This window comes from Homo sapiens, chromosome 3, assembly GCF_000001405.40.
Source record: "Homo sapiens chromosome 3, GRCh38.p14 Primary Assembly".
Lineage (NCBI taxonomy): Eukaryota > Metazoa > Chordata > Mammalia > Primates > Hominidae > Homo > Homo sapiens.
In genome coordinates this window covers 51,266,915-51,291,911 of record NC_000003.12, presented here as the reverse complement: position 1 = coordinate 51,291,911, position 24,997 = coordinate 51,266,915, and the positions used below count along the sequence as shown (strand labels likewise).

At 41.9% G+C, this 24,997-nt stretch overlaps 1 protein-coding gene across 28 annotated transcripts in view; it reads right to left on the bottom strand.

Annotated features, from left to right (window-relative positions):
• DOCK3 (dedicator of cytokinesis 3) overlaps positions 1-24,997 on the bottom strand; it is a 709,272-nt gene that overhangs the window by 92,287 nt on the left and 591,988 nt on the right. For 19 of the 28 annotated variants that reach the window (XM_005264914.4, NM_004947.5, XM_006713010.4 and 16 more), the window contains 4 exons: positions 20,905-21,097; positions 16,706-16,833; positions 14,158-14,304; positions 11,708-11,806 (listed from right to left, as the gene is read on the bottom strand). In XM_005264914.4, the coding sequence (XP_005264971.1) occupies positions 11,708-11,806; positions 14,158-14,304; positions 16,706-16,833; positions 20,905-21,097 (567 nt within the window). Of the gene's footprint in view, positions 1-11,707; positions 11,807-13,383; positions 13,476-14,157; positions 14,305-15,377; positions 15,601-16,705; positions 16,834-20,904; positions 21,098-24,997 lie in introns of those variants that run through there. The other 9 variants (XM_005264917.4, XM_047447595.1, XM_047447596.1 and 6 more) reach the window with 5 other exon arrangements.

The window sequence follows — 24,997 nt, the reverse complement described above, 5'->3', positions numbered from 1 at the left end:
CCCACTTGATCATGGTGAATAATCCTTTTAATGTACTGTTGAATATAGTTTGCTAGTCTTTTGTTGAGGACTTTTGCATCATATTAATCCATGTTACTGACCTATAGCTTCCTTTTCTTGTAGTGTCTTTGTCTGGCTTTAGTATCAGGGTAATGCTAGCCCCATGAAATGAGTTTGGAAATATTCCCTCCTCTTCAATTTTTAAGAAAAGTTTGGGAAGGATTATTATTAGTTTGTCTGTAAATGTCTGGCAGAATTCAACTGTGAAGCCATCTAGTCCTGGGCTTTTCTTTGATGGAAGACTCTTAATTACTGATTCAAGCTCTTTACTAGTTATTAGTCTGTTCAGATTTCCAATCTCTTCATGATTAAGTCTTAGTAGATACACGTGTCTAGGAATTTATCATTTTCTCCTATGTTGTCCAATCTGCCGGCATATAATTATTTGTAGCAGTCTCTTATGATCCTTTATATTTCTGTTATCAGTTGTAACGTCTTCTATTTCATTTCTGACTTGACTCTTCTGTTTTGCTTTTCAGAAAATAAACTTGTTTAGGTGATTTTTCTTTTCTTTTTCTTTTTTTAGTGTCCATTTCATTTACTTCTACTCTGATATTTCTTATTTCTTTCCTTCTGTTAACTTTGGGGTTAGTTTTTTCTTATTTTACTAGTTCCTTGAGGTGTGACATTGGGTTGTTTGAGATCTTGCTTCTTATTTGATGTAGGCATTTATTGCTATAAACTTCCCTCCCAGAGCTGCTTTTGCTACATTCTGTAAGATTTGATATGTTTCCATTTTTATCTCCAGATATTATTTTTGTTATTTTTATTTTTGAGATAGAGTTTCACTCTTGTTGCCCAGGCTGGAGTGCAGTGGCACGATCTTGGCTTACTGCAACCTCCACCTCCCGGGTTCAAACAATTCTCTGCCTCAGCCTCCCAAGTACCTGGGATTACAGGTGCCCGCCACCACGCCTGGCTAATTTTTGTATTTTTAGTAGAGACAGGGTTTCACATCTTGACCAGGCTGGTCTTGAACTCCTGACCTTGTGATCCACCTACCTTGGCCTCCTACAGTGCTGGGATTACAGGCATGAGCCACCGTGCCCAGCCCACTGTCTCTTTTTATAATTTTTGACCTAAAGTCAACTTTGTCTGAAATAGTATAGCTACCCCTGCTCTTTTTGTTTCCATTTGCATGAAATGTCTTTTTTCTTTTATATATATATTATACTTTAAGTTCTAGGGTACATATGCACAACATGCAGGTTTGTTACATATATATACATGTGCCATGTTGGTGTGCTGCACCCATTAACTCGTCATTTACACTAGGTATATCTCCTAATGCTATCCCTCCCCTCTCCCCCAACCCCACAACAGGCCCCGGTGTGTGATGCTCCCCTTCCTGTGTCCAGGTGTTCTCATTGTTCAATTCCCACCTATGAGTGAGAACATGTGGTGTTTGGATTTCTGTCCTTGCGATAGTTTGCTGAGAATGATGGTTTCCAGCTTCATCCATGTCCCTACAAAGGACATGAACTCATCATTTTTTATGGCTGCATAGTATTCCATGGTGTATATGTGCCACATTTTCTTAATCCAGTCTATCATTGTTGGACATCTGCGTTGGTTCCAAGTCTTTGCTATTGTGAGTAGTGCCGCAATAAACATACATGTGCATGTGCCTTTATAGCAGCATGATTTATATTCCTCTGGGTATATACCCAGTAATGGGATGGCTGCGTCAAATGGTATTTCTAGTTCTAGATCCCTGAGGAATTGCCACACTGTCTTCCACAATGGTTGAACCAGTTTACAGTCCCACCAACAGTGTAAAAGTGTTCCTATTTCTCCACATCCTCTCCAGCACCTGTTGTTTCCTGACTTTTTAATGATCGCCATTCTAACTGGTGTGAGATGATATCTCATTGTGGTTTTGATTTGCATTTCTCTGATGGCCAGTGATGATGAGCATTTTTTCATGTGTCTGTTGGCTGCATAAATGTCTTCTTTTGAGAAGTGTCTGTTCATATCCTTCGCCCACTTTTTGATGGGGTTGTTTTTTTCTTGTAAATTTGTTTGAGTTCTTTGTAGATTCTGGATATTAGCCCTTTGTCAGATGAGTAGATTGCAAAAATGTTCTCCCATTCTGTAGGTTGCCTGTTCACTCTGATGGTAGTTTCTTTTTTCATCCCTTCACTTTCAGTGTATGACTGTCCTTTAAGGTGAAGTGAGGCTACTGTAGGCAGCATATAGTTGGGTCTTAAAAAAAAAAAATCCATTCAGGAACTCCACGTCTTTTGATTGGAGAATTTAATCTATTTACATTCAAAGTAATTACCGATAGGCAAGGACTTATTTACTAGTGCTGTTTTGTTTTCTGGTTGGTTGTTTGTAGATCCTTTGTTCTTTTCTTCCTGTATTGCTTTCTTCCTTTGTGGCTGGATGGCTGTCTAGTGGTATGCTTTGATTCTTTTATCTTTTGTATATTAATTACAGGCTTTTGCTTAGTAGTTACTCAGTGGCTTACATAAAACATCTTATACTAATAGCATTTTAGGCTGATAACAACTTTGATTGCATAAAGAAACTCTATACTTTAATTCCCCTCCTCCTACCCTCCACCTTCAAATAGGCCCTAGTATCTGTGGTTCCCTTCTTTGTGTCCATGTACAGCTCCCACTTATAAGTGAGAACATGCAGCATTTGGTTTGCTGTTCCTGCATTAGTTTGCTTAGGATAATGGCCTCTAGCTCCATCCATGTTGCTGCAGAAAACATAATCTCATTCTTTTTTATGGCTGTGTAGAATTCCATGGTATATACGTTCTTTTTTTAAATAACCTAGAGCTGTTTCTCTATTTTGTCACTCCTGTCCTAAGTCATTTATACTCAAGTCTCTCATCTCTCTTCCCCCAGGCTACTCCCTTTCCTCTGTCTCTTTACTTCCTCCACCGATTTACTTTAAATACACACACATGGGCACACACACACACACACACACACCCACACACACACACACACCCACACAAACACCCCTCTCCTAGGCTAGGCTGTTTCAGCTTAGGAAATAAAAAATAAAATCTGTTGGCTTATGAGTAGCCTTTACCTGCAGTCAGAGAGGCATACTGCCTTTCAAGCTCTCAGTTTCTTTCTTCAGGACCATTTCCTCTGCTCCTTTTCTTTCAAACTCATTTTCAGGAAAACTAGGCCATTGACTAATGGCCTCCCTCATTCTAAGTGAGTTTTTGTCACTTGTTACTCTGAGTAAAAGGTATTTAAAAGCCTTTATGTTAGCTTTTTTCTTTTTTTATTTTAGGTTCAGGGGTACATGTGCAGGTTTGTTATATAGGTAAATTGAGCATCATGGAGGTTTGGTGTCCAGATTATTATACTGCCCCAGCAATAAGCACAGTACCTGATAGGTAGTTTTTTGATCCTCACCCTCCTCCCACCCTCCACTCTTAGATAGGCCCTGATGTCTGTTGTTCTCTTAATTTTTTTTTTTTTTTTTTTTTGAGACGGAGTCTCACTTTGTCACCTAGGCTGGAGGGCAGTGCTACGATCTTGGCTCACTGCAACCTCTGCCTCCTAGGTTCAAGTGACTCTCCTGCCTCAGCCTCCTGAGTAGCTGGGATTACAGGCATGTGCCGCCATGCCCGACTCATTTTTGTATTTTTAGTAGAGACGGGGTTTCACCATGTTGACCAGGCTGGTCTCGAACTCCTGACCACAAATGATCCCCCTGCATCAGCCTCCCAAAGTGCTGGGATCATAGGCATGAGCCACTGAGCCTGCCTGTTGTTCTCTTCTTATGTCCATGAGTACTCAATGTTTAGCTTCCACTTACAAGTGAGAACATGTGGTATTTGGTTTTCTGTGTTAGTTCACTTAGGACAATGGCCTCCAGCCCCATCCATGTTGCTGCAAAGGACATGATCTCGTTCTTTTAAAATGGCTGTGTAGTATTCCAACGTGTATATGTAGCACACTTTCTTTATCTAGTCTACCACTGATGGGCATTTAGGTTGATTCCATGTCTTTGCTATTGTGAATAGTTCTGTGATGAACACATACATGTGCATGTGTCTTTATGGTAGAATTATTTATTTTCCTTTGGTTATATATCCAGCAATGGGATTGCTGGGTTGAATGGTAGTTCTTTTTTAAGTTGAGAAATCACAGAACTGCTTTCCATAATGGCTGGACTAATTTACATTCCCATTAGCAGTGTATAAGTGTTCCCTCTTCTCTGCAACCTCACCAGCATTTGTTATTTTTTGACTTTTAATTTTTTAATTTTAATTTTTACTATTTTGAGACTTGACTTTTAATTTTTTAATTTTAATTTTTACTATTTTGAGACAGGGTCTTTTCCTGTCACCCACGTGGGAGAACTGTGGTACAATCAGCTCACTGCAGCCTTGATTTCCTGGGCCCAAGCAATCTTACCTCAGCCTCCCAAATAGCTTGGACAACAGGCACATGTCACCATGTCTGGGTAATTTTTATTTTATTTTTTTTGTCAAGATGGGGTCTTGCTATGCTGCCCAGGCTGGTCTTGAATTCCTGGGCTCAAGTGATCTTGCTGCCTCAGCCTCCCAATATTTTTTTGACTTTAATAACAGCTATTCTGAGTGGTCTCAGATAGTATCTTGCTGTGGTTTTCATTTGTATTTCTCCAGTGATTAGTGATGTTGAACATTTTTTCATGTGCTTGTTTGCTGTATGTCCTCTTTTGAAAAGTGTCTGTTCATGTCTTTTGCCCACTTTTTAACAGAGTTGTTTTTTTGCTTGTGAATTTAAGTTCCTTACAGATTCTGGTTATCAGACCTTTGTCAGATGCATAGTTTGCAAATATTTTCTCCCATTCTGTGGCTTGCCTGTTTATTCTGTTGAGAGTTTTTCTGTGCAGAAGCTCTTTAATTAGATCACATTCGTCAATTTTTGCTTTTGTTGCAAATTGCTTTTGGTGTCTTTGTCATGAAATCTTTGTCAGGGCCTATGTCCAAGTAGTTCTTTTTTAAGTTATTTGAAAATCTTCCAGAGTTTTTATAATTTTAGGTTTTACATTTAAGTCCTTAATCCATCTTGAGTTAATTTTTGTATATGGCATGAGGAAGGGGTCCAGTTTCAATCTGCATATGGCTAGCCAGTTATCCCAGCACCATTTATTGAACAGGGAGTCTTTTCCCCATTGCTTGTTTTTGTCAACTTTGTTGTAAATGAGATTGTTGTAGGTATGAAGCTTTATTTCTGGGCTCTGTATTCTGTTCCTTTGGTCTATGTGTCTATTTTTTGTATCCGTACCATGCTGTTTTGGTTACTGTAGCCTTGTAGTATAGTTTGAAGTCAGGTAATGTCATGCCTCCAGCTTTGTTCTTTTTGCTTAGGACTGCTTTGGCTATTCAGGCTTTTTTTTAATTCCATATCAATTTAAAAAAGTTTTTAATTCTGTGAGAAATGTCATTGGTAATTTAATAGGAATAGCAATGAATCTGTAAATTGCTTTGAGTTGTATGGTCATTTTAACAATATTGATTCTTCATTCTTCCTAGCCATGAACATGGAATGTTTTTCCATTTGTTTGTGTAATCTCTGATTTATTTTAGCAGTTTTGTAATTCTCCTTGTAGAGATCTTTTACCTCTCTGGTTAGTTTTATTCCTAGATACTTTATTCTTTTTGTGGCTATTGTGAATGGAATTACGTTCTTAATTTGGCTCAGCTTGAATGTTGTTGGTGTATAAAAATGCTACTGATTTTTTACATCGATTTTTGTATCCTGAAACTTTGCTGAAGTTGTTTATCAGATCTAGGAACTTTTGGAAAGAGGTTATGGAGTTTCCTAGGTATAGAATTATAACATCTGTAAATAGAGATAGTTTGACTTCCTCTCTTCCTATTTGGATGCGTTTTCTTTCTCTTGCCTGATTGCTTTGGCTAGAACTTCCAGACTAAACTCTTTTTTCATTTGAGATGGAGTCATGCACTGTTGCCTGGGCTGGAGTGCAATGGCGTGATCTTGGCTCACTGCAACCTCTGCCTCCTGGGTTCAAGCGATTCTCCTGCCTCAGCCTCCCAAGTAGCTGGGATTACAGGCGCCCGCCACCACACCCAGCTAATTTTTTTTTATTTTTAGTAGAGACGGGGTTTCGCTATGTTGGCCAGATAGGTCTCAAACTCCTGACCTCATGATCTGCCCACCTTGGCCTCCCAAAGTGCTGGGATTATAGGTGTGAGGCACTGCACCTGGCCTTACCCTCTTTTTAAAATTTCTTTTCTTTTTGTACCTCAGATTATATAATTTTCAGTGACCTGTTTTTGATTTCAGTAATCCTTTCTTCTGCTTGATCTAGTCTGCTGCTGAATCCTTTTATTGAAATTTTCAGTTTAGAGTATTCTTCAGCTCTATGATTTGTTTGGTACTTATGTATACTTTCTGTTTCTTTGTTGAAATTCTCAGTTTATTCTTTCATTGCTCTCCCGACCTCAGTGAGCATCTTTATGAACATTATTTTGAATTCCTTGTTGGATGATCACATACCTACACTTCACTTGGGCTGGTTTCTGGACATTTATCTTATTCTTTTGTTTGAAATATACTCCTATTTATTTTCCTTGATGCTCTGTGGTTCATTTCTGCATATGAGATCAGACAATTATTTCTCCCAATCTTGTCAGGTTGGCCTTGTGTAGAAGGATCTCACCAATTCATCCATCCAGAGATTCTAAGGTGCCTCTCAAATCTTTGTGTTTGTCCAGACTGCTGTCTCTGTTTTGGGTGGCCTCCTGGAGCTTAAGATGTGCCATGTCCTCTCCATACTCTGAAACTGACAACTTAGGAGCCAGACTCTTGTTATGTAGCTGCAAATGTTAAAAGTGTTGGATGCATGCTCCAGTTCATTGTATCTTCATGATAAAGCTGAACATGGGCATTTATATCCCACTGTCGCTGCATTAAGCTGGGGAAGAGGATCTGTTGCAAACGTTGTATGTCTACCTCTTGGCTTTCTGTGATCTAGGGCCACTCAGGAATGCAAAGCCCCATTTTCCCAGAATTAGGTTATTAAGGAGATAGTCTCTTGGGTGGGAGCTATAGAAGTTGTGGCACTTAATGTGTGGCCAAATGCCTTCCAGGAAGAATGGGTACACTTGGACTTATCACTGTGGTGAGCCAAAGGAAAGGCTCATGAAGTGCTGAGCTCTGGCTCAGGCTGCTAAATGGTTATTGTTTGTTTGCTCCATTAGCTCCCTGAAACAAGTTCAATATAAGCCAAGCCATAAAGCAGCCACTGGAATTATGTGCCATGAGACCCTTCTAAAGAGAAAAATCGGAGCTGCATGTTCCTGCCCCTTTTCTGCACTGCTCCAAAGGGGTGTTAGCTCCTGGAAGTGTTTGTGTGCCCATTTAAAACCATCTCTTTGTTCTGTGATCTAGGGAGATTAATAAATGCCTAGTTCTTTCTGCTCCTAGAACTAAGAGGTTTAGGATGGAGTCCTTCGGGAGGTAACTGTAAAAGTTGGCGTACTTGATGCATGGCATAAACCCCTTCCAGGGAGAAACAGGGAGGTGAGTTTTTAAAGCCACTTTTCTGCACTGATCCTGGCAGATGAAGACCCTGGAAGTATTTATGTGCTCACATAAAACTGCAATTTTTTTTCCTGAGGTCTAGACAGACTCATATATATGCAGCTTCTCTTGCTCCCAATGCTAGGAGGTTTAGGATGCAGTCCTTCGGGTAGAAGCTGTAAAAGTTGGAGCACTCAATATGTGGACAATTCTTTCCAGGAGGGATTAATAGGCCTGCAGTTGTTCCTGGGATGAGCTAGGGGAGAAGGCCTGTGAAGTACCAATCTGCTTCTCAGGCTGCTGGTGGGCCAATACTTGCCTGTCCCTTTAACTCACGAATGTAAGTGTGTAAAGTCCCTTTAACTCAAGAAGCCAGACCACCAAGTAGTTATACACCCCTTCCAGGGAGAAACAGAGGAACTGTGTTTTCAAGCCCCTTCTCTGCACTGTTTCAGGAGGATCAAGCCCCAGAAGTGCTTACATGCCCATACGAAACCACAACCTTTTTCATGTAGTCTATGGACACACATATGCCAGTCCCCTTTGTTCCCAGAACGGGGAGGTTTAGGATGCAGTCCCTTGGGTAGAAGCTATAAAAGCTGGGATGCTCAATGTATGGACAAACTCCTTCCAGGAGAGGAGTTTGTCTGAAATTATCACTAGGGTGAGCTGGGGGAGGAGGCTCAGGAAGTGCCAATCTGCTGCTCAGGCTAGCAGCAAGCTACTACTTGTCTGCTCCTTTAACTCCCCAGTCTAAGTCAGTAAGAAGCCAGACTGCCACATGTCCACTGAAAGAGTTTGTCTGTTCCTGAGAGACACATGGAGCTGCATTTTTGGAGCCCTTTCTCTGCATTGCTTCTAGAGGATAAAGCCCTGGAAGTCCTTGTGTGCCCATATAAAATTGCTGCTTTTTCCCTGTGATCTAGAGATACAAATTTCCTCCCCTCCCAGAGTTGGTGAATTAGGAGCCAAACCATGGCAAATCTTAGAATTAGGGTGGTATATGTGAGGTCCAAACCCTCCTCTCCACAGGGAGCAAGTAAATGTTAAGGATTCCTTTCCTGATTTTATGGTGCAGTGCCAGGGGTGGGGTCTGTGCCTGAGTGTGCCTCTCAGCTTTTCCTACCCATTCAATGTGGATGTTTCCTCAGTTGCCTGGTGGGTAAGGATCTTTCAATGGGTCTCCTTCTCTCAGAGGGAAGTGATTCATGAATAGATGTTTATTTGGTGTCTGTGGGTAGAGGGAAAGTCAGGAGCTTCATATTTTTCTGTGTGGCTCACGTCATTCCTTGACAATTTTCACATGTTAAGCTAAACTTGCATTTCTGGGATAAATCCTACTTGATCATGTTATATAATTCTTTTACTATGTTGGTGGATTCAGTTTGCTAGTATTTTGCTGGAGATTTTTGTGTTTATATTCATAAGGGGTATTGGTTTGTAGTTTGCTTTTCTTGTGATGTCTTTGTCCAGGTTTCTTATCACAGTATTTATTACTGACCTCATACAATGAGTAGGTAAATGTTCTGTCCTCTTCTACTTTTTGGGATAGTTTGCAAAGGACTGATATTAATTCTTATTTAAAAATTTGGTAGAATTCACCAATTAAGGCATCTGGTCCTGGGCTTTTCTTTGTGGGAAGTTTTTTTTCTTTTTTCTTTTCTTTTCTTTTTTTTTTTTTTTTGAGACAGAGTTTCACTCTTGTTGCCCAGGCAGGAGTGCAATGGCGCAATCTTGGCTCACCGCAACCTCCACCTACCAGGTTCAGGCGGTTCTCCTGCCTCAGCCTCCCGAGTAGCTGGGATTACAGGCGTGCACCACCACACCCGTATAAGTTTGTATTTTTAGTAGAGACAGGGTTTCTCTATGTTGGTCAGGTCAGGCTGGTCTCAAACTCCCGACCTCAGGTGATCTGCCTCCGCCCGCCTTGGTCTCCCAAAGTGTTGGGATTACAGGTGACAGCCACTGCACCTGGTTGGAAATCTTAAATTATTAACTTGATGTCACTATTTGTGATGAGTCTTTTTAAGATGGATATAATCAGAAGCATTAAATTGTACACTTTAAAAGTATGAATTTTATGGCATAATTATAGCTTAATTAGGCCATAGCCTATTCCTCTCCCTTATTTGGAAGTGTTTTTGCCTCTCTCAGCATTCCACAAGTTACTTCCTCTCTTCCTTTGTTCTCCTCTGCCTTTGACTCTTTTGGGAAGTTCTAAGTTGCTAGCCAATTGGGTCGGGTATAGAATGTGAGGTCCCGTTCCAGCCAATGGAAACCAGACACAGCAGTAGGGTGAATGCATCAGGTTATAAATAACCCTATCTCCTTTGTTTGTGTGTGCTCTTGTGGCTGGACTGCTGGCGAGTGCACCCTTTCCGCAGAAAGTAAACTAGCCTTGCTGAGGAATCCTTTGTCTCAGTGTAGATCTTTTGCGACATCGAACTCCTGTGCCCAACACAGGAGAAGTGGAAGACTCCTCTCTGGGGAATGAACAAGTCCAAGTCCTCCAGACACAGGAATTGGGGAATGCTCTGACCAAAAGGGCAGATCTCTTTGGCCATCTACAGGGAAGCCTGCTAGAGAAAGCCCTGCCTATACATAGAGTTTGTAATCAGCACTGAAGGACTTCACTTTTAGATACACACTATCATCCAGGAGTCTCTATAGGAAAGTCTGTAGGAGGAGAGTCTCCAACACAAAAGATAGTGACTGAAACAAATAAAAGCAGTGGGGGAGCAAATCTCTAGGAAAAAAAAGTGACCTGACATCTGATAGATTTGACCATAAGGCAAGCTGGAAGAAGAGATATATTAGAAAGATGATAGCAAGAGTGGGAAATCCTCACCAGATTTGATGACCAAAACAAAACAAAGCATAAGCAAATAAAAAAAGAGGCAATTAATTTTTATAAAAACAATAAGTTCGACAACAAGCTTGTCTAACCCACGGCCCATGGGCCATATGCAGCCCAGGATGGCTTTGAATGCAGCCCAACACAGATTTGTAAACTTCCTTAAAATATTATGAGATATATATATATATATATATATATATATATATTTTAGCTCATCAGCTATCGTTAGTGTTAGTGTATTTAATGTGTGGCCCAAGACAATTCTTCTTCCAATGTGGCCTAGGGAAGCCGAAAGACTGGACATCACTGTTCTACAAGAAAAGAAATATAATCCCAGGACAGTCTTGGCTCACCACAGTACTTATTTAGCTGTAATAAAGAAAAGATAAACAATATAATCAATGCAAACAAAAATATATGAAAACTACATTGGGAAAATGGGAGGAAGGATGTGTGTGTGAGAGAGGAATGATTCTGGAGAATCATCTTCATTTTCCATAGAAAGAGGAAAATAGATAATAACTAACAATAGCTAAAAATAGTAGTAGAAGCTTCCTGAAGAATAGCAAAAGAATTGAAAGTGGCTGCCTTTGTGGAGTAGGGACTGGACACGAGTCAGGCTGAGCCAGGAAACCACTGTATTTTTTAAAAAAATTATTTCTGGGCTCAATCGATCCTCTCACTTTAGCCTCAAGAGTAGCTAGGACTACAGGTGTTTTATATTATGAACTTTGTAGTATGCTTTGGCTTTTTAAATTATGTATAGCAATCTGTGATAAAAATAAGACCCTCAGTGCTCCAGACCCAGAGTTTGGCAGCAAATGAGCAGTGCACACCCTTGCTCTCTAAAGGTATCTTCCACAAATATATTTAAATGAAAAAAATTGACACCATTATTATTATTAAAGGTATTAAAACAGCAAATCCTAATTTGCAGGTACAAAATATAAGGGTAACTGCCAAGTTACTAAGAAAGGAAGGAGTCCTGGTTGTCTGACAACCAGTGTGGGACAGAGTAGCCTCTAATAGAGGCACATGATCACAGGGCCGCTAATAGTCAAGGAAAACTTGGCAGTGTTACGAGGGTCCAGCTGTGTGGGGACACTGCTGGCTTTCAGCTTCTGGAGGCCAACACTCAGCTGTAAAGCAGGGCTGGTGAATCCTACACCCGTGGCAATGCTAGTCACTTGCATTCATCCCCCTGACAGGGAAAAAGCCCCTGGGGAGTGCTGGCTGCACACTTCCTCTCCCAGAGGAAAGGTGTTCTACTGCCTACCTTGAGTTCATCTTTGCTCTGGAAGTTGTCCAGGAGGTGCTGGAAATGGGTGTCACACATCTGGCGGAGCAGTGAGAGAAGGCAGGACACATACTCGCCCTAGGGACCAACCCAAAAAAACACTTAGCATGGCCAATTGCAAGGGCTGTGTTCCCCCAATCCATAGAGGGCAAGGAGAGAAGGGAGGGTCTGAGATGGCCCCAATGATCATGGAAGAAAGATGACAAATCTAGCCCTCTAAAGCTTTATTTTCTGCTAAGGAAAGCCTGGAGGGATTAGGGGGAAATAAACCCTCTGCAGCATGGGGCTACTGAAAAACCTTAAACTATAATAAAGTAGTACTGCAAAGTGAGACAAATATTCTCCCTTTTTTTCCTAGGAAAGTTTTGGCTAAATAGTCCTTTGCTGCCAGGGCACTGTACTGAAGTCTATAGAGGATACTTGGAAAAGGGGAGAGCTTAACCCTCTCTGGACAGAATTTGGACTCTGCCGATCCTGCTGGACTAGAGCAGCCCTTCTACAAGGACTTCTTTGGAACCTCCTAGAATTTGCACAGGGTTACTGGACTGGGCAAACAAAACACAGCGCAGATCAATATGCCTGTCTGAAAGGCAGAGGAGTTAAAACTGACCTTTTTGAGGGGACAAGCTATGGGCTTTAAGACAAGTAGAAATTAAAGGAGAAATATCAATGTTCAAAATGTCTTCAAGTTCCAATTGGAATACATGGAATAAAATCCTGCTTTAAGGACTTCAAAAACCATCTTACAGCAACTTTTGGCAGGAGGCAGTCAAGCATGGCCTCCTCTTAGTTGCCTCCTTAAAAGGGAGGGAGAACATTTACTTCACTTGGGCAATTTTCAAATGTTTATAAACTCATGAGAAAGTGACAACAGGTTTTAGTCTCTCAAACCCTTTCTAGGTCTCTGAAATTATTATTATTGTTGTTTTTTGGGATGGAGTTTTGCTCTTATCACCCAGTCTGGAGCGCAATGGCATGATCTTGGCTCACTGCAACCTCCACCTCCTAGGTATAAGCGATTCTCCTGCCTCAGCCTCCCGAATAGCTGGGATTACAGGCGCCCACCACCATGCCCGGCTAATTTTTTTTTTGTATTTTTAGTAGACAGGGTTTCGCCATGCTGGCCAGGCTAGTCTCGAACTCCTGACCTCAGATGATCCATCTGCCTCGGCCTCCCAAAGTGTTGGGATTACAGGCATGAGCCATCACGCCTGGCCTGAAATTATTAAAAATACATGTGTGCAAAATATATATGTTCATGAACCTCATTTTTATCTGAAAAATGGGCATAATAAGCTATAGGTAATTCGTCATGAGGGTCAGATGGGTTAATGTACATAAAGCATTAAGAATAAAGTCCATTATGTAAAAAGGTACTGAATAAATTATAGTTATTATCATCCTCATTATAATCTACATAAAATGAATCACTTCCTTAGTATTGCTAAATGAGCTAATATTGGACAAGTGCTTAAAGCAGGGTCTGGCCCACAGCAAGCACTGTGTAAGTGTTGGTTAGAAGGCTGGGTTACCAGGAAATGCCAGGGTACATATATATATATATATATGTTTTTTACTTACAGTGAGAGTGCCTTCAACAGAGGCTCCTAAAGGAGCAGACACTCTTTCCAAGCCCAGTGCTCCAGAACACATACCTGCTCCCTGAGTGCTCCCTGCTCTCCCTAGCACGCTGTAGCTTGGCTTGCTCCAGAGGGTTTTCTTCAGAGAGATCACTGTAATCTCCCATCTGCCAATGGAAAGATTCCACGAAAACTGTTTATCACATCCCCACCTCAGGGCTGAGAAGTAAGTCTACTCTGGAGTTGGGGTGCATGAGGGGCCCAAGGTATTGTCTCTCTGCCCCTCCTGAGAAGCCTTCCCAGTTTGTTTCTCTTCTAATTAGATCACAGAAAAATCGTTATTCACTAATGCCAGTGAAATTTACCTCATCATATTTTTCCAAATGCTAAAAATTTAGATACAAACATAATGGACAAAAGCAACTAATTTGTAGATAGAAGCCAATTCTGAGAAAATTATTCTGTCCTGTACATCATTTAGGAGAACCTGTATGAGGGGGTTCCTAGAAGAAATAGTCTGTTTTTCACCTTCAACCTCTTACTACATCTTACATACATCCCAGCTTCATTCTACAATATAGAAAATGACTTGGCTCAAAGTATGCAGGAAAACAGGACAAGAAACATTCCCCAGATCTGCCCTAAAGAAGAGTCCTGGGAATGTGAACCTAGAGCTTTCAGAGTAGAGAGGAGAGTCAGACTCAAGAAGGGAAGAGGGCAGCATGCTGACAACCATGCAGGAGGGAAGGCTGAGATGAAGGTGGTGGGATGGTAAGATGGAGGGGGAGTGTTGTGGAGAAGCCCCGGGTTAGAAAAGAAGGCAAGAAAACCTGGATGTTAGTTACTAACAGTGATCTCGGCTGTGCACTGCGGGCACCGCTGCCCTCTTACCGCCTCCTGAGCGTGCGATTTGCTCATGATGGTGAGCAGAGTCTGCAAGAGCACGTCCAGGAGGCTCTCCACCATCATCTCTACTTCCTCCATGACATCTGCCTCCTGGAGCGAGCAGCAAGAGAGCACACCATTAGCAGCAAGCCAGGCTGAAGTACAGCTGGCAGCACTTACTAGGTCAGCCACATCAGCAGTAGTCTTCTGGATTCCCAACACCAAGCTCTCAGTCTCACCAACATGCAGTGTCAAGGCACCCAGGACAATGGCTTTGACAGGAGGTGAGGCACAACTGCCACTGCTGCCCAGGCATGGTGGCTGGGGCCTTACCCTAACTCAACACCACCTGCAACTTTGAATCTCAAGCAGATACATTAATTTTGATATACAGGGCAGAAGCAAAGATCTTGAGTTAAATGTTTTCTTTGATTTCCCTAGAATAGTCAGGAGAAGGCAAAACTCTGCTGACACTTTTGGAATGATAAAGTTTGAGAAATGGTGACAAATTCACACTACAGGGTGTGGCAGCTGCACCTTCACTAGTGCATAGCACTAATGCACAGAAGTAGCTCATCTTTCTAAGCACGCTGTTTTCTCCTCAGGGTCTTCCCCTTGGGTGCCCTCAATTTTTGCCAGCCGGGACTGCTGCCTAGATATGCCTGGGTCCACTTCTAGCTCCTCAGCTCTCTTGCTCGTGTTACAGGGTCCATTTGAAGGACTCCAGCCTCAGTGCATCTTTCTCTGGCCACCTCACAAAAACAATGGAGCATGTCTCCTCACTAAGGGCCACTTCCTAATTTAGGAAGAGTCTATTATCCTATTATAGACTTCTCACATTCATCTCAAATTCTGTAGCATGATTTTAATTATCTCACAAAGAGATTCCTGTTGCCCCTCGTCTAAGATGTTTATACTACTACTGGTCCTGGTGTCTATCTTTCACCCATCCATCGATTTATCATTCACTAAACATTTACCATGTGCCAGTCACTGTTTGAGAACCTGAATATATAGAGGTGAACGAGAGATAATATCTCTGCTCTCATTGAGCTTCAGTTTCATTGTCCCTCTACCCATCCATCCATTTTAACTATACTCTGCCCCATTCCACATGAAGAATTTGAGCAGCTCTTGGGACCAAAGTCATCTTTCCTATCTGTCGAACTGATCATAACACTTACCAGTGATGTATCTTTGGGTAGTTATAAGCAACTAATTACACTGACTCTAGCCCCACAAACACAACCAAACCGTCACCTCCAAGTTTTTACTGGTTCCCACTTGTGTTCCATTCCTCCTCTTTTTTTGCTTCAATTTCTCTCCTTCCTTTAGCAATAAGCTGTCCACCCCCTCAATACAACCTTGGGCTATGAGTAGATCTTATGTGCTTGGTGTGGCTTCTCTGAGGCCTGGTGGGAAGAAGAGCTGCCAAGTCTTACCTGGAGCCAAGATCAAATAATAGGGCCATTATCACCATCATAGTCACTCTCTGCCAAGCTAGACCCCTGTCACCAGATGGCACTTTAAGTTTGAACATCAGAGTATCCTATTGAGTCCCTGTCCCCTGCTCGAACAAAATATACTCTTTTTTTAAGGTGCCTCTCCCACTCCATGTGGATAGCCTATCCTTGTATATTCTTATCACCTGGCAACTGCCCTTCATTTTAAATGCATGTGAAATTCTATTCTCTAGCAACCTAATAAAATGGTATAATTTAAAAATCCATTTTTGTTCTACATTTCTTTCCTTATGCTTTTCTATAGTTTCTGAATTTTCTATAAGTAATATGCCTTTCTTCTATTATCAAAAGTACATGAAATAAGTATCATTAAAATAAATTCCTACCCTCACCCGTGCCTAATTCATATCTTTCCTTCTCTCTTTCCCTACCTCAGTTCATCCCCTCTTACCACTGATTTCTTTTAAAAAGAAAAAATAGAGAGGAAAGAAAATGGGTAAAAGCAATATCAGTTGAAACCCGACCCCTAAAGCACAATTCTACCATCCTCTGAGGCTCAGAGCTCTGGTGGGCAACATTAACCTCTCGTATGCCCTGACCTCATTTGGCACAGTATAGGAACGCCATATGGGTGGAATCAAGCTGTCAGGAAGCTAACAGAAGAGCCTGAATAAGCAAGCTACCTCTCAAGTCTGGGTCTGCCTCCCTGTGCTCATGCCTGAATATTCTCAGAAAACTCCCAAGAATCCAGAATTAAAACCTATTGATGGAAACAGCATGACACAGAATTGGGCTTTGTGGTACTACAGATAACTATATTTCTGGGTAGATTTATGGTAGTGCAACCTTTAAAAATAGCAAGAATGTGTTGTACTGACAAACCTGCTGGGAACACACAGGGCTCCATTCACTTGGGCACCTTCCTGTCACTGATGAAAGCATCTGTGACTGAAAAGTGTACAAAGCGATCTTTGTTGGTCTGCCTCTGGCTAAAGTAACACAAGACTAGGGAAGAGCTGAACAGGGTGGAGTGGGTGTGGGGCCACTACCAGAGAGCTGGTCTTGACGATGGAGAAGATGCTGCCAAGAATCCCTGAGCAAATTAGCAGCTCTTTCTGCTGCCTCAGGTGAAGGTGAATGTGATGGAGAACCACAGGAAGCAGGATGCGGCGGGATTCTGGGAGAGAAAATACAAAGGTGAAGAAAACTTTAGAGGAGAACTAGCTACTGCAGGAAGCCAGTGGCATTGTGGGACTTAGCTATTCTCAAAGCAGGTGGGGTTCAGACTAGAGCAAAAGTGAAGGTAATCTCCTTACCTTACAAGGGCCTGAAAGCTCACTGCCTGGAGATTATAAGCCATCACATGACATTATTCTTCCATCTTTCCTTTGTTCTCATTTCAATACCAAGCATCCATGACATTTTGTGCAGGATGAATGTTAGGAGTCTGCTTCTAAATGAAGTATCTTTTTTTGGAAACAGGGTCTCATTCTGTCACCCAGGCTGGAATGCAGGGGCATAATCATGGCTCCCTGCAGCTTCAACTTTCTAGGATTGCTAGAGCAATCCTCCTTCCTCAGCCTCCCATGCATATGGGACCACAGGTGTATGGCACCACACTCGGATAATTTTTTAATTTTTTGTAGAGATGAGGTCTCACTATGCTGCCCAGCTAGTCTTGAACTCCTGGGCTCAAGCGATCCTCCCTCCTTGTCCTCCCCAAATGCTAAGATTACAGGTGTGAGCCACCACACCTGGTCCCAAATGAAATCTCTTTAATGATTAGACTCCAAATTAGAAGCACAGTTTACAGTGAAAATTCCATTTAAATGGTATACTTAGTATGAACTACGCTGACTGAACTCACAGGCTTGAAATGGATTATAGATTGTCCCTCTTTATGCCCTGGCTAGATAGGTAGTCTGACACTTCCACCCCTGTGAGTGTTTACCTTGCCACAGCCAACAGGCCTGCTCCCTTTCCCCCACAGGCTTGTTAGATTGCTGCTCAGTGTGTATACAGCAATGAACACAATTGAAGCATGACCTTTGTCTTGTCACAAGACTTTGATAATTAGCCAACATTTATCACCAATCCTACTGAACACTTCAAATGATTTCTCCCAGTGTTACCGAATAGCACTTTCATCAGGAGCTGACTATATTTACAATCCTAAATTCAGGAAGGCTGTCCTACTTCAAGCTCCCTTATTAACCCGTTCTGAGACCTCAGGCAAGTTGACTCCTCTCACGAGCTTTATTTTCCTCATCTGTAGAATGGGGTGTAAGGGCCTCTTCTATAATACATTTACTTCACAAGGAAGGTTAGGAGACATGTGAAATACAAGTGTGAATGCGTTTCTGGCACCCTGTATTCCTACGTGGTCAGTGATTGTGTGACTCTGCAGGTCCCATCATATCTGGCTAGCATGATTTAGTCAGATTATCAGTAACACAAACAAGCCATGGCATTTTAGATTTATCGTTCATATCTGTCCTTTGTTAAGAGTTCCATATGAAATTCAGACAGCAAATCTTTTTCAGTCAAAGACAAAGTACATGACATATAAGAGATTTGGGCACTGCCTTGTCAAATGCTTAGAATATGTTCAAACAGAATAGAATACTAGCTAGTCTAGATTTAAAAGGCTGCTTGAATAAAAAAAGTTGATACTGCACTATGTAGATGAAAATACCAACATACTTAGTTTTTGTAACAACCAATAGCTGCTTACAGAAAAAAACAGTGGTTAGTTACTAGAACCTGCTGAAGAAGAGACCAAACTTATACTTTGAGAATACCAGTGCTGGTTAAAGGACATCACTGGTAAAGAACCTTTTGCTTCAGGGAAGATGCTGCAACTCAGGCATTCAATGAAAGTGAGATGCAAATGAAATTTTGGTGCTGTTTGTCATCTAAAATCCAATTACATAGTCCAGGGCCACATAAATATTAAGAAAATTTTTCTGAAGTGTTTGTGTGAAGCAGCAAGTACATGCAGAGATATTAGAAATAAAGTATGTCAGTGAGAGCAGTCTGCTGTTCCCCTTCCCATATATTTTGAAAGCATTTTCTTTCTTTTTTTTTTTTTTTTGAGACAGAGTCTCACTCTGTCGCCCAGGCTGGAGTGCGGTGGCGTGATCTCGGCTCACTGCAAATTCTGCCTCCTGGGTTCACGCCATTCTCCTGCCTCAGCTTCCTGAGTAGCTGGGACTACAGGCGCCCACCACCATGCCTGGCTAAATTTTGTATTTTTAGTAGAGACAGGGTTTCACCATGTTAGCCAGGATGTCTCGATCTCCTGATGTCATGATCCACACACCTTGGCCTCCCAAAGTGCTGGGATTACAGGCGTGAGCCACCGTGCCCGGCCAAAAGCATTTTCTTTAAGCAGTGCACAAAGCTCAAGTGTGTACAGTGGCCTTCAGTGACAGTGTGCCCCAAACCATTAATAAAATCTTCAGTATAGGAGCTGGAGAAGAGAGAACTGTTTACCAGCATAAACAGTTCCTGGTGGAAAAAAGATGACTTTCTTGGTGGCAGCTTTACTACTACTAGCAATATCATACGCTGGCAGAGCTAAGTCAAAGGGAACATCTATTTAGTATTACAAATGTGTGTAGCAGTGGGCTGAGAAATTTTTGTTCTTACACATTAAAAGTCAAACCTGGCCGGGCGCGGTGTCTCACACCTGTAATCCCAGCACTTTGGGAGGCTGAGGCGGGTGGATCATGAGGTCAGGAATTCGAGACCAGCCTGGCCAATATGGTGAAACCCCGTCTCTACTAAAAATACAAAAAAAAAAAAAAAAATTAGCCAGGCATGGTGGTGCATGCCTGTAGTCCCAACTACTTGGGAGGCTGAGGCAGGAGAATCATTTCAACCTGGGAGGCGGAGGCTGCGGTGAGCTGAGATCATGCCACTGGACTCTAGCCTGGGCAACAGAGCGAGACTCCGTCTCAAAAAAAAAAAAAAGTCAAACCTAAAAAATTAACCACCAAAAATTATAAAAATTCTAATAATTGTTTTGCTGGTGTTTCAGATTTATTTCTGTGCCTCAGAAGTTTATCCTAGCACAGTGATATTATTCTTAAAGAATCAGGCTCATATTGATCTTAATATATGGCCATTGAGCATTTGGTTGTCCCTGCAAGGCAGAACTTGATCACATATGATGTGTCTTCAGGAATAAAACCAGAAGTTCTTTGTGAAAGACAGACTAGGCTGCTAGTATATTAGATTGTCCTGACCCCTTGGGGAGCATAAAGAGCTCCCTGTCCATTTCTCTCTCTAATCCTTGTTGGTTCTCCAAAGACTGGAAAGGTATCGAATGGTATGGCAAGGAAACAAGAAAGCACAGGGTCCTCAGGGCCCCTTTCAGGGCCTTTTTTTTTTTTTTTTTTTCCTGAGACAGTCTCGCTCTGTTGCTCAGGCTTGAGTACAATGGCGTGATCTTGGCTTACTGCCACCTCCGCCTCCTGGGTTCGAGCAATTCTCCTGCCTCAGACTCCTGAGTAGCTGGGATTACAGGTGCCTGCCACCATGCCTAGCTAATTTTTTGTATTTTCAGTAGAGATAGGGTTTCACCCTGTTTGCCAGGCTAGTCTTGAACTCCTGACCTCAAGTGATCTGTAGGGCCTCTTTTATTTTCTTGGCTTATCCTTATTTCCTTGAGATAGTCCCTTCTCTTTTCCTCTCCTTCCTTTCCTGAGGGTATAGCAGGCTCTGTTCTTGGAAGCTGTGGGCCTGGAGGCAGGGCCCTCATGAACAAGATTAGCGACCTTTTAAAAAAAAAGACCCCAGAGAGCTGCCTTGCCCCTTCTGCTATGTGAGAACACAGAGAGAAGACAGCTGTCTATGAACCAGGAAGTGGGCCTCACCAGACATTGAATCTACTGGTGCTTTGATCTTAGACTTCCTAACCTCCAGAACTATGAGAAAGTTTGCTGTTTACATGCCACCCAGTCTATGGTATTCTGTTACAGTAGCCTGAATGGACTCAGCACCACCCCAGTGACATGCCCCTATGTGTGGATTCCTAGGAATAAACTGTGAGTAAGGCAGTAGGCCTAGGTCTTGGCTGCATTCTCTATTATAGTTTATCAAAAAATTCTGTATCTTAAGGGTTACTGGTTTCTTGCATAATCGTTGAGGAAACTGATCCTTTGATTATCACTTTGCTATCACCCCTGGAAGGAAGGAGGACACCCCTGGAAGGAAGGAGGACTCTCATCCCAACTTGATTTACCTGAGAAAGAAAACAGGCGGCTATCCACTGTCCTGGCAATGGACTGCAGCTTGACCACGTCCATTGACTGCCCAATGTGCACAGTGCTGGGCATGCTCCCCAGTGTCCCTCTCACAAACTCTGCCACCTCTTGCACGGTGAACATTTGCAGAAGCTCATCAAAGATGGTTGGGAAAGAATTGAGGAGTGCAGCCTGCAGAAGCAAATGAAGCTGTGGTTAGCACAGAGTTAGGGTGTGTGTCTATCTTTCATGCTCAGACAATGATACAAGGTGGTGAGAGGCTGAGAAGGCACTGTAGCATCTCTGCCTTCGGTGGGCTCCTCCCTGGCCACTGACTACAGCACTCAGGCATGGAGCAAGAAAAACCAAAAAGGAAACCAAAACAAGATAATTTACTGGGATCCAGGCAATTGGAGGCTTTCATAACTTGCATATAGCATTTGCTGGCAAGAGAATGGGGTATAAAGAAAAATCTGCTCAATGTGGCTTAAGATCCACAGTTGTTTTTGTTCATAAAATGGATTTAGATTTTTGTTTGTCTCTATGATCAAGTTCTTAACTTTCCAATTTTGGTTCCAAACTCAAGAAAGTATGGCAGAGAGAGCTGAGTTCCTTCAAGCAGCACCAGCTGAACTCTGCTCACAGCCCTGCAGCCAGTGATCCAGTTCTGAGAGCTGTACCATTTCCCCAGAATAGAGATTCTCATTTGCAACCATGAAATATGAAGACTTCATAAATTATTTTCTTCATAAGTGATGCCTGGTAGTCTCAAGAGTAAATTCAAGAGGATGGGAAATGTGTGTATTTAGTTAGCCATAAACTCTTGAGGACTGTTGACGTGGGCTTAGAGTTCAGCCACCTAAACACCCAAGCAAGGGGAGTGGGAGTGTGCATGTTAGGCTTTTCTTCTAGGATGTAAGCTCTGGCAGACCATAAGGTAGTTTCTTGAGAACAATCTGATAATAGAACAGTTCCACAGCCTTTGGGAGGCAGAGCACTATAGGAAAAAGAGAATGGGTTTTGGAATTAGACACGAGTTCAAATCCAAGCTTTACCGCTTACCTGACACACAAACTTTGGCAAGTTACTGCCTAATTCTCTGTTTCCCCATCTATAAAATGGGGATGATGCTATTACTTATGTCTTGATACTGGTATGAGGGAAATTTTTACATAAAGTTTCTAGTAGAGTGCCTGGAACACAATAGGCCTTTGATACATGCTGGTTCTTATTATTTTCTCTTGTCTAAGTGGAAGCAGCATGAAGACTTTTCACTTCTCAGTCCCCTTATGCCATTAACTCAGGATTTACAAAGAGAAATGGAGTGCCATCTTGAGACAAAAAGGTGAGAATGCACCCTTCCCAAATGGCAGGCTGGGGAGGGAAGGCTGTTTTCTTGACTGCTCCATCAGGCAACAGACACTGGCTTAGAGTGAGTGAAAATTTATGCCATGGAAAACAGGCTTGTGCTGTGGTCTTTATTCAGGCCAGGCCCAATTGGAGAACTTATATGAATTCTATCTGCAGATTTATAACTCCCTGGAATATCAAGGAGATTGTTTTGCAGTAATTAGAATCAGAACAAAACATATCATTGGCAGCTTAGATATAAAAGACAAAGCAGTGGTAAAGTAGGTGCTTTATAATCAATAACAAACAGTAACTCATTTGCTCTCTTAAATGGTAAAATATCCTGTACTTAGACACCAGGACAGAAGGACTCTCACACCCTGACATCTTCTAGTGGTCATAATCAAAGATATAAAGTCTAACTGAATAATATACATATATATATTATGTATATATATGCATATATATGTATATTATTATATGTATATTATTATACGTATAAATAAATATATATATATAGAGAGAGAGAGAGAGAGACAGTGAGAGAGAGAGAGAGAGAGAGTTGTGAAACTCAGGAAACATGAGCCTTGCACCAAAGAAGAAGGTCTGATTCTCACACAGGTCTTAGCCGAGACCAGATCTAAGCTATTTATCTTGATGTAGTAGGAGTGTGCCACTCAGTACAGGGCATTATTGTGTTACAAAGTTCCCAGAAAGCATATCTGCATTGCTTTGCTAGCTACCTCTAATCTCTCCATATTTTGGCTGTGGGAGGGGAATCAAAAAGGAAGATGAGCAGCTTAAGGTACTTAGAAGGGGAGATCACAGGTGTCTTTCTTACAGAAGCACCTGGAAGCCTTCAGGTACTCCCTTATAGAGTTCCTTATAGACTCCCTTATAGAGTCCACTCCCTTACAGAGTCAAGGAAGCCTTAAGGTACTCCCAGTTGATCACCTGTCCTCTGGGCTGAGAAACCTATAGGCAACTGGTATCAAGAGGCAACACAGAGGCAAGCGGAAAACAAAAAAGTAGACTATTTTAATCTTAAATGAGGCAGAGTTTAAATATATACTTGGGCTAACAATATACCTGGCAGTGACTGAATGACTGGACATGAGAGAGGCTGTCTGATCTTTGCTGACAGGTTTTGGTGTAATATTTAGCTTCAAAAAGTTGAAGAACTATACACTATTACATAAAAATTCTGACATTCATTTGTAAGGAAAAATATCTCCCTTTTGACTGGGGTAATGAATTCTTGATTTGTTCTAGGGTAAGGCTGTGTGGAAAGGTAACAGATTAGCTGGCCAGGCAGTTTTGTTTGTTTTTGAGACAGAGTTTCACTCTGTTGCCCAGGCTGGAGTGCAGTGGTGCAATCACAGCTCACTGTAGCCTTAACTTCTTGGGCTCAGGTGATTGGTCAGGTAGTTTTAATATAAGAAAGCAAATTTTCTTCCCATACTGATATTTCTAATATTGAATCTAATCTAATCTTTTTTTGAAGTTTTAATTATTTATTATACTTTAAGCTCTGGGATACATGTGCAGAATGTGCAGGTTTGTTACATAAGTATACACGTGCCATGGTGGTGTGCTGCACCCATCAACCCATCATCTACATTAGGTATTTCTCCTAATGCTATCCCTCCCCTAGTCCCCCGACCCCCAACAGGCCCAGGTGTGTAATGTTCCCCTCCCTGTGTCCATGTGTTCTCATTGTTTACCTCCCACTTATGAATGAGAACATGTGGTGTTTGGTTTTCTGTTCCTGTGTTAGTTGACTGAGAATGATGGTTTCCAGCTTCATCCATGTCCCTGCAAAGGACATAAACTCATCCTTTTTTATGGCTGCATAGTATTCCATGGTGTATATGTGCCACATTTTCTTTATCTAGTCTATGACTGATGGGCATTTGGGTTGGTTCCAAATCTTTGCTATTGTCAACAGTGCTGCAATAAACGTATGTGTGTGGCTGGGCGCGGTGGCTCATGCGTGTAATCCCAGCACTTTGGGAGGCTGGGGCAGGTGGATCACCTGAGGTCAGGAGTTCGAGACTAGCCTGGCAAACAGGATGAAACCCCATTTCTAATAAAAAATGAAAAAATTAGCTGAACATGGTGGCATGCGCCTGTAATCCCAGCTAGTCAGGAGGCTGAGGCAGGAGAATCACTTGAACACGGGAGGTGGAGGTCGCAGTGAGCTGGGATCGCTCCATTGCACTCCAGCTTGGGCAACAAGAGTGAAACTCCATCTCAAAAAAAAAAAAAAAAGAAAGAAAAAAACCATACGTGCGCATGTGTCTTTATAGTAGAATGATTTATAATCCCTTGGGTTTATAGCCAGAAATGGGATCGCTGGGTCACATGTATTTCTAGTTCTAGATCCTTGAGGAATCACCACACTGTCTTCCACAATGGTTGAACTAATTTACACTTCCACCAACAGTGTAAAAGCATTCCTATTTCTCCACATCCTCTCCAGCATCTGTTGTATCCTAACTTTTTAATGATCGCCATTCTAACTAGTGTGAGATGGTATCTCATTGTGGTTTTGATTTGCATTTCTCTAATGACCAGTGATGATGAGCTTTTTTTCATATGTTGGTTGGCTGCATAAATGTCTTCTTTTGAGAAGTGTCTGTTCATATCCTTCGCCCACTTTTTGATGGTTTTTTCTTGTAAATTTGTTTAAGTTCTTTGTAGATTTTGGATATTAGCCGTTTGTCAGATGGATAGATGGCA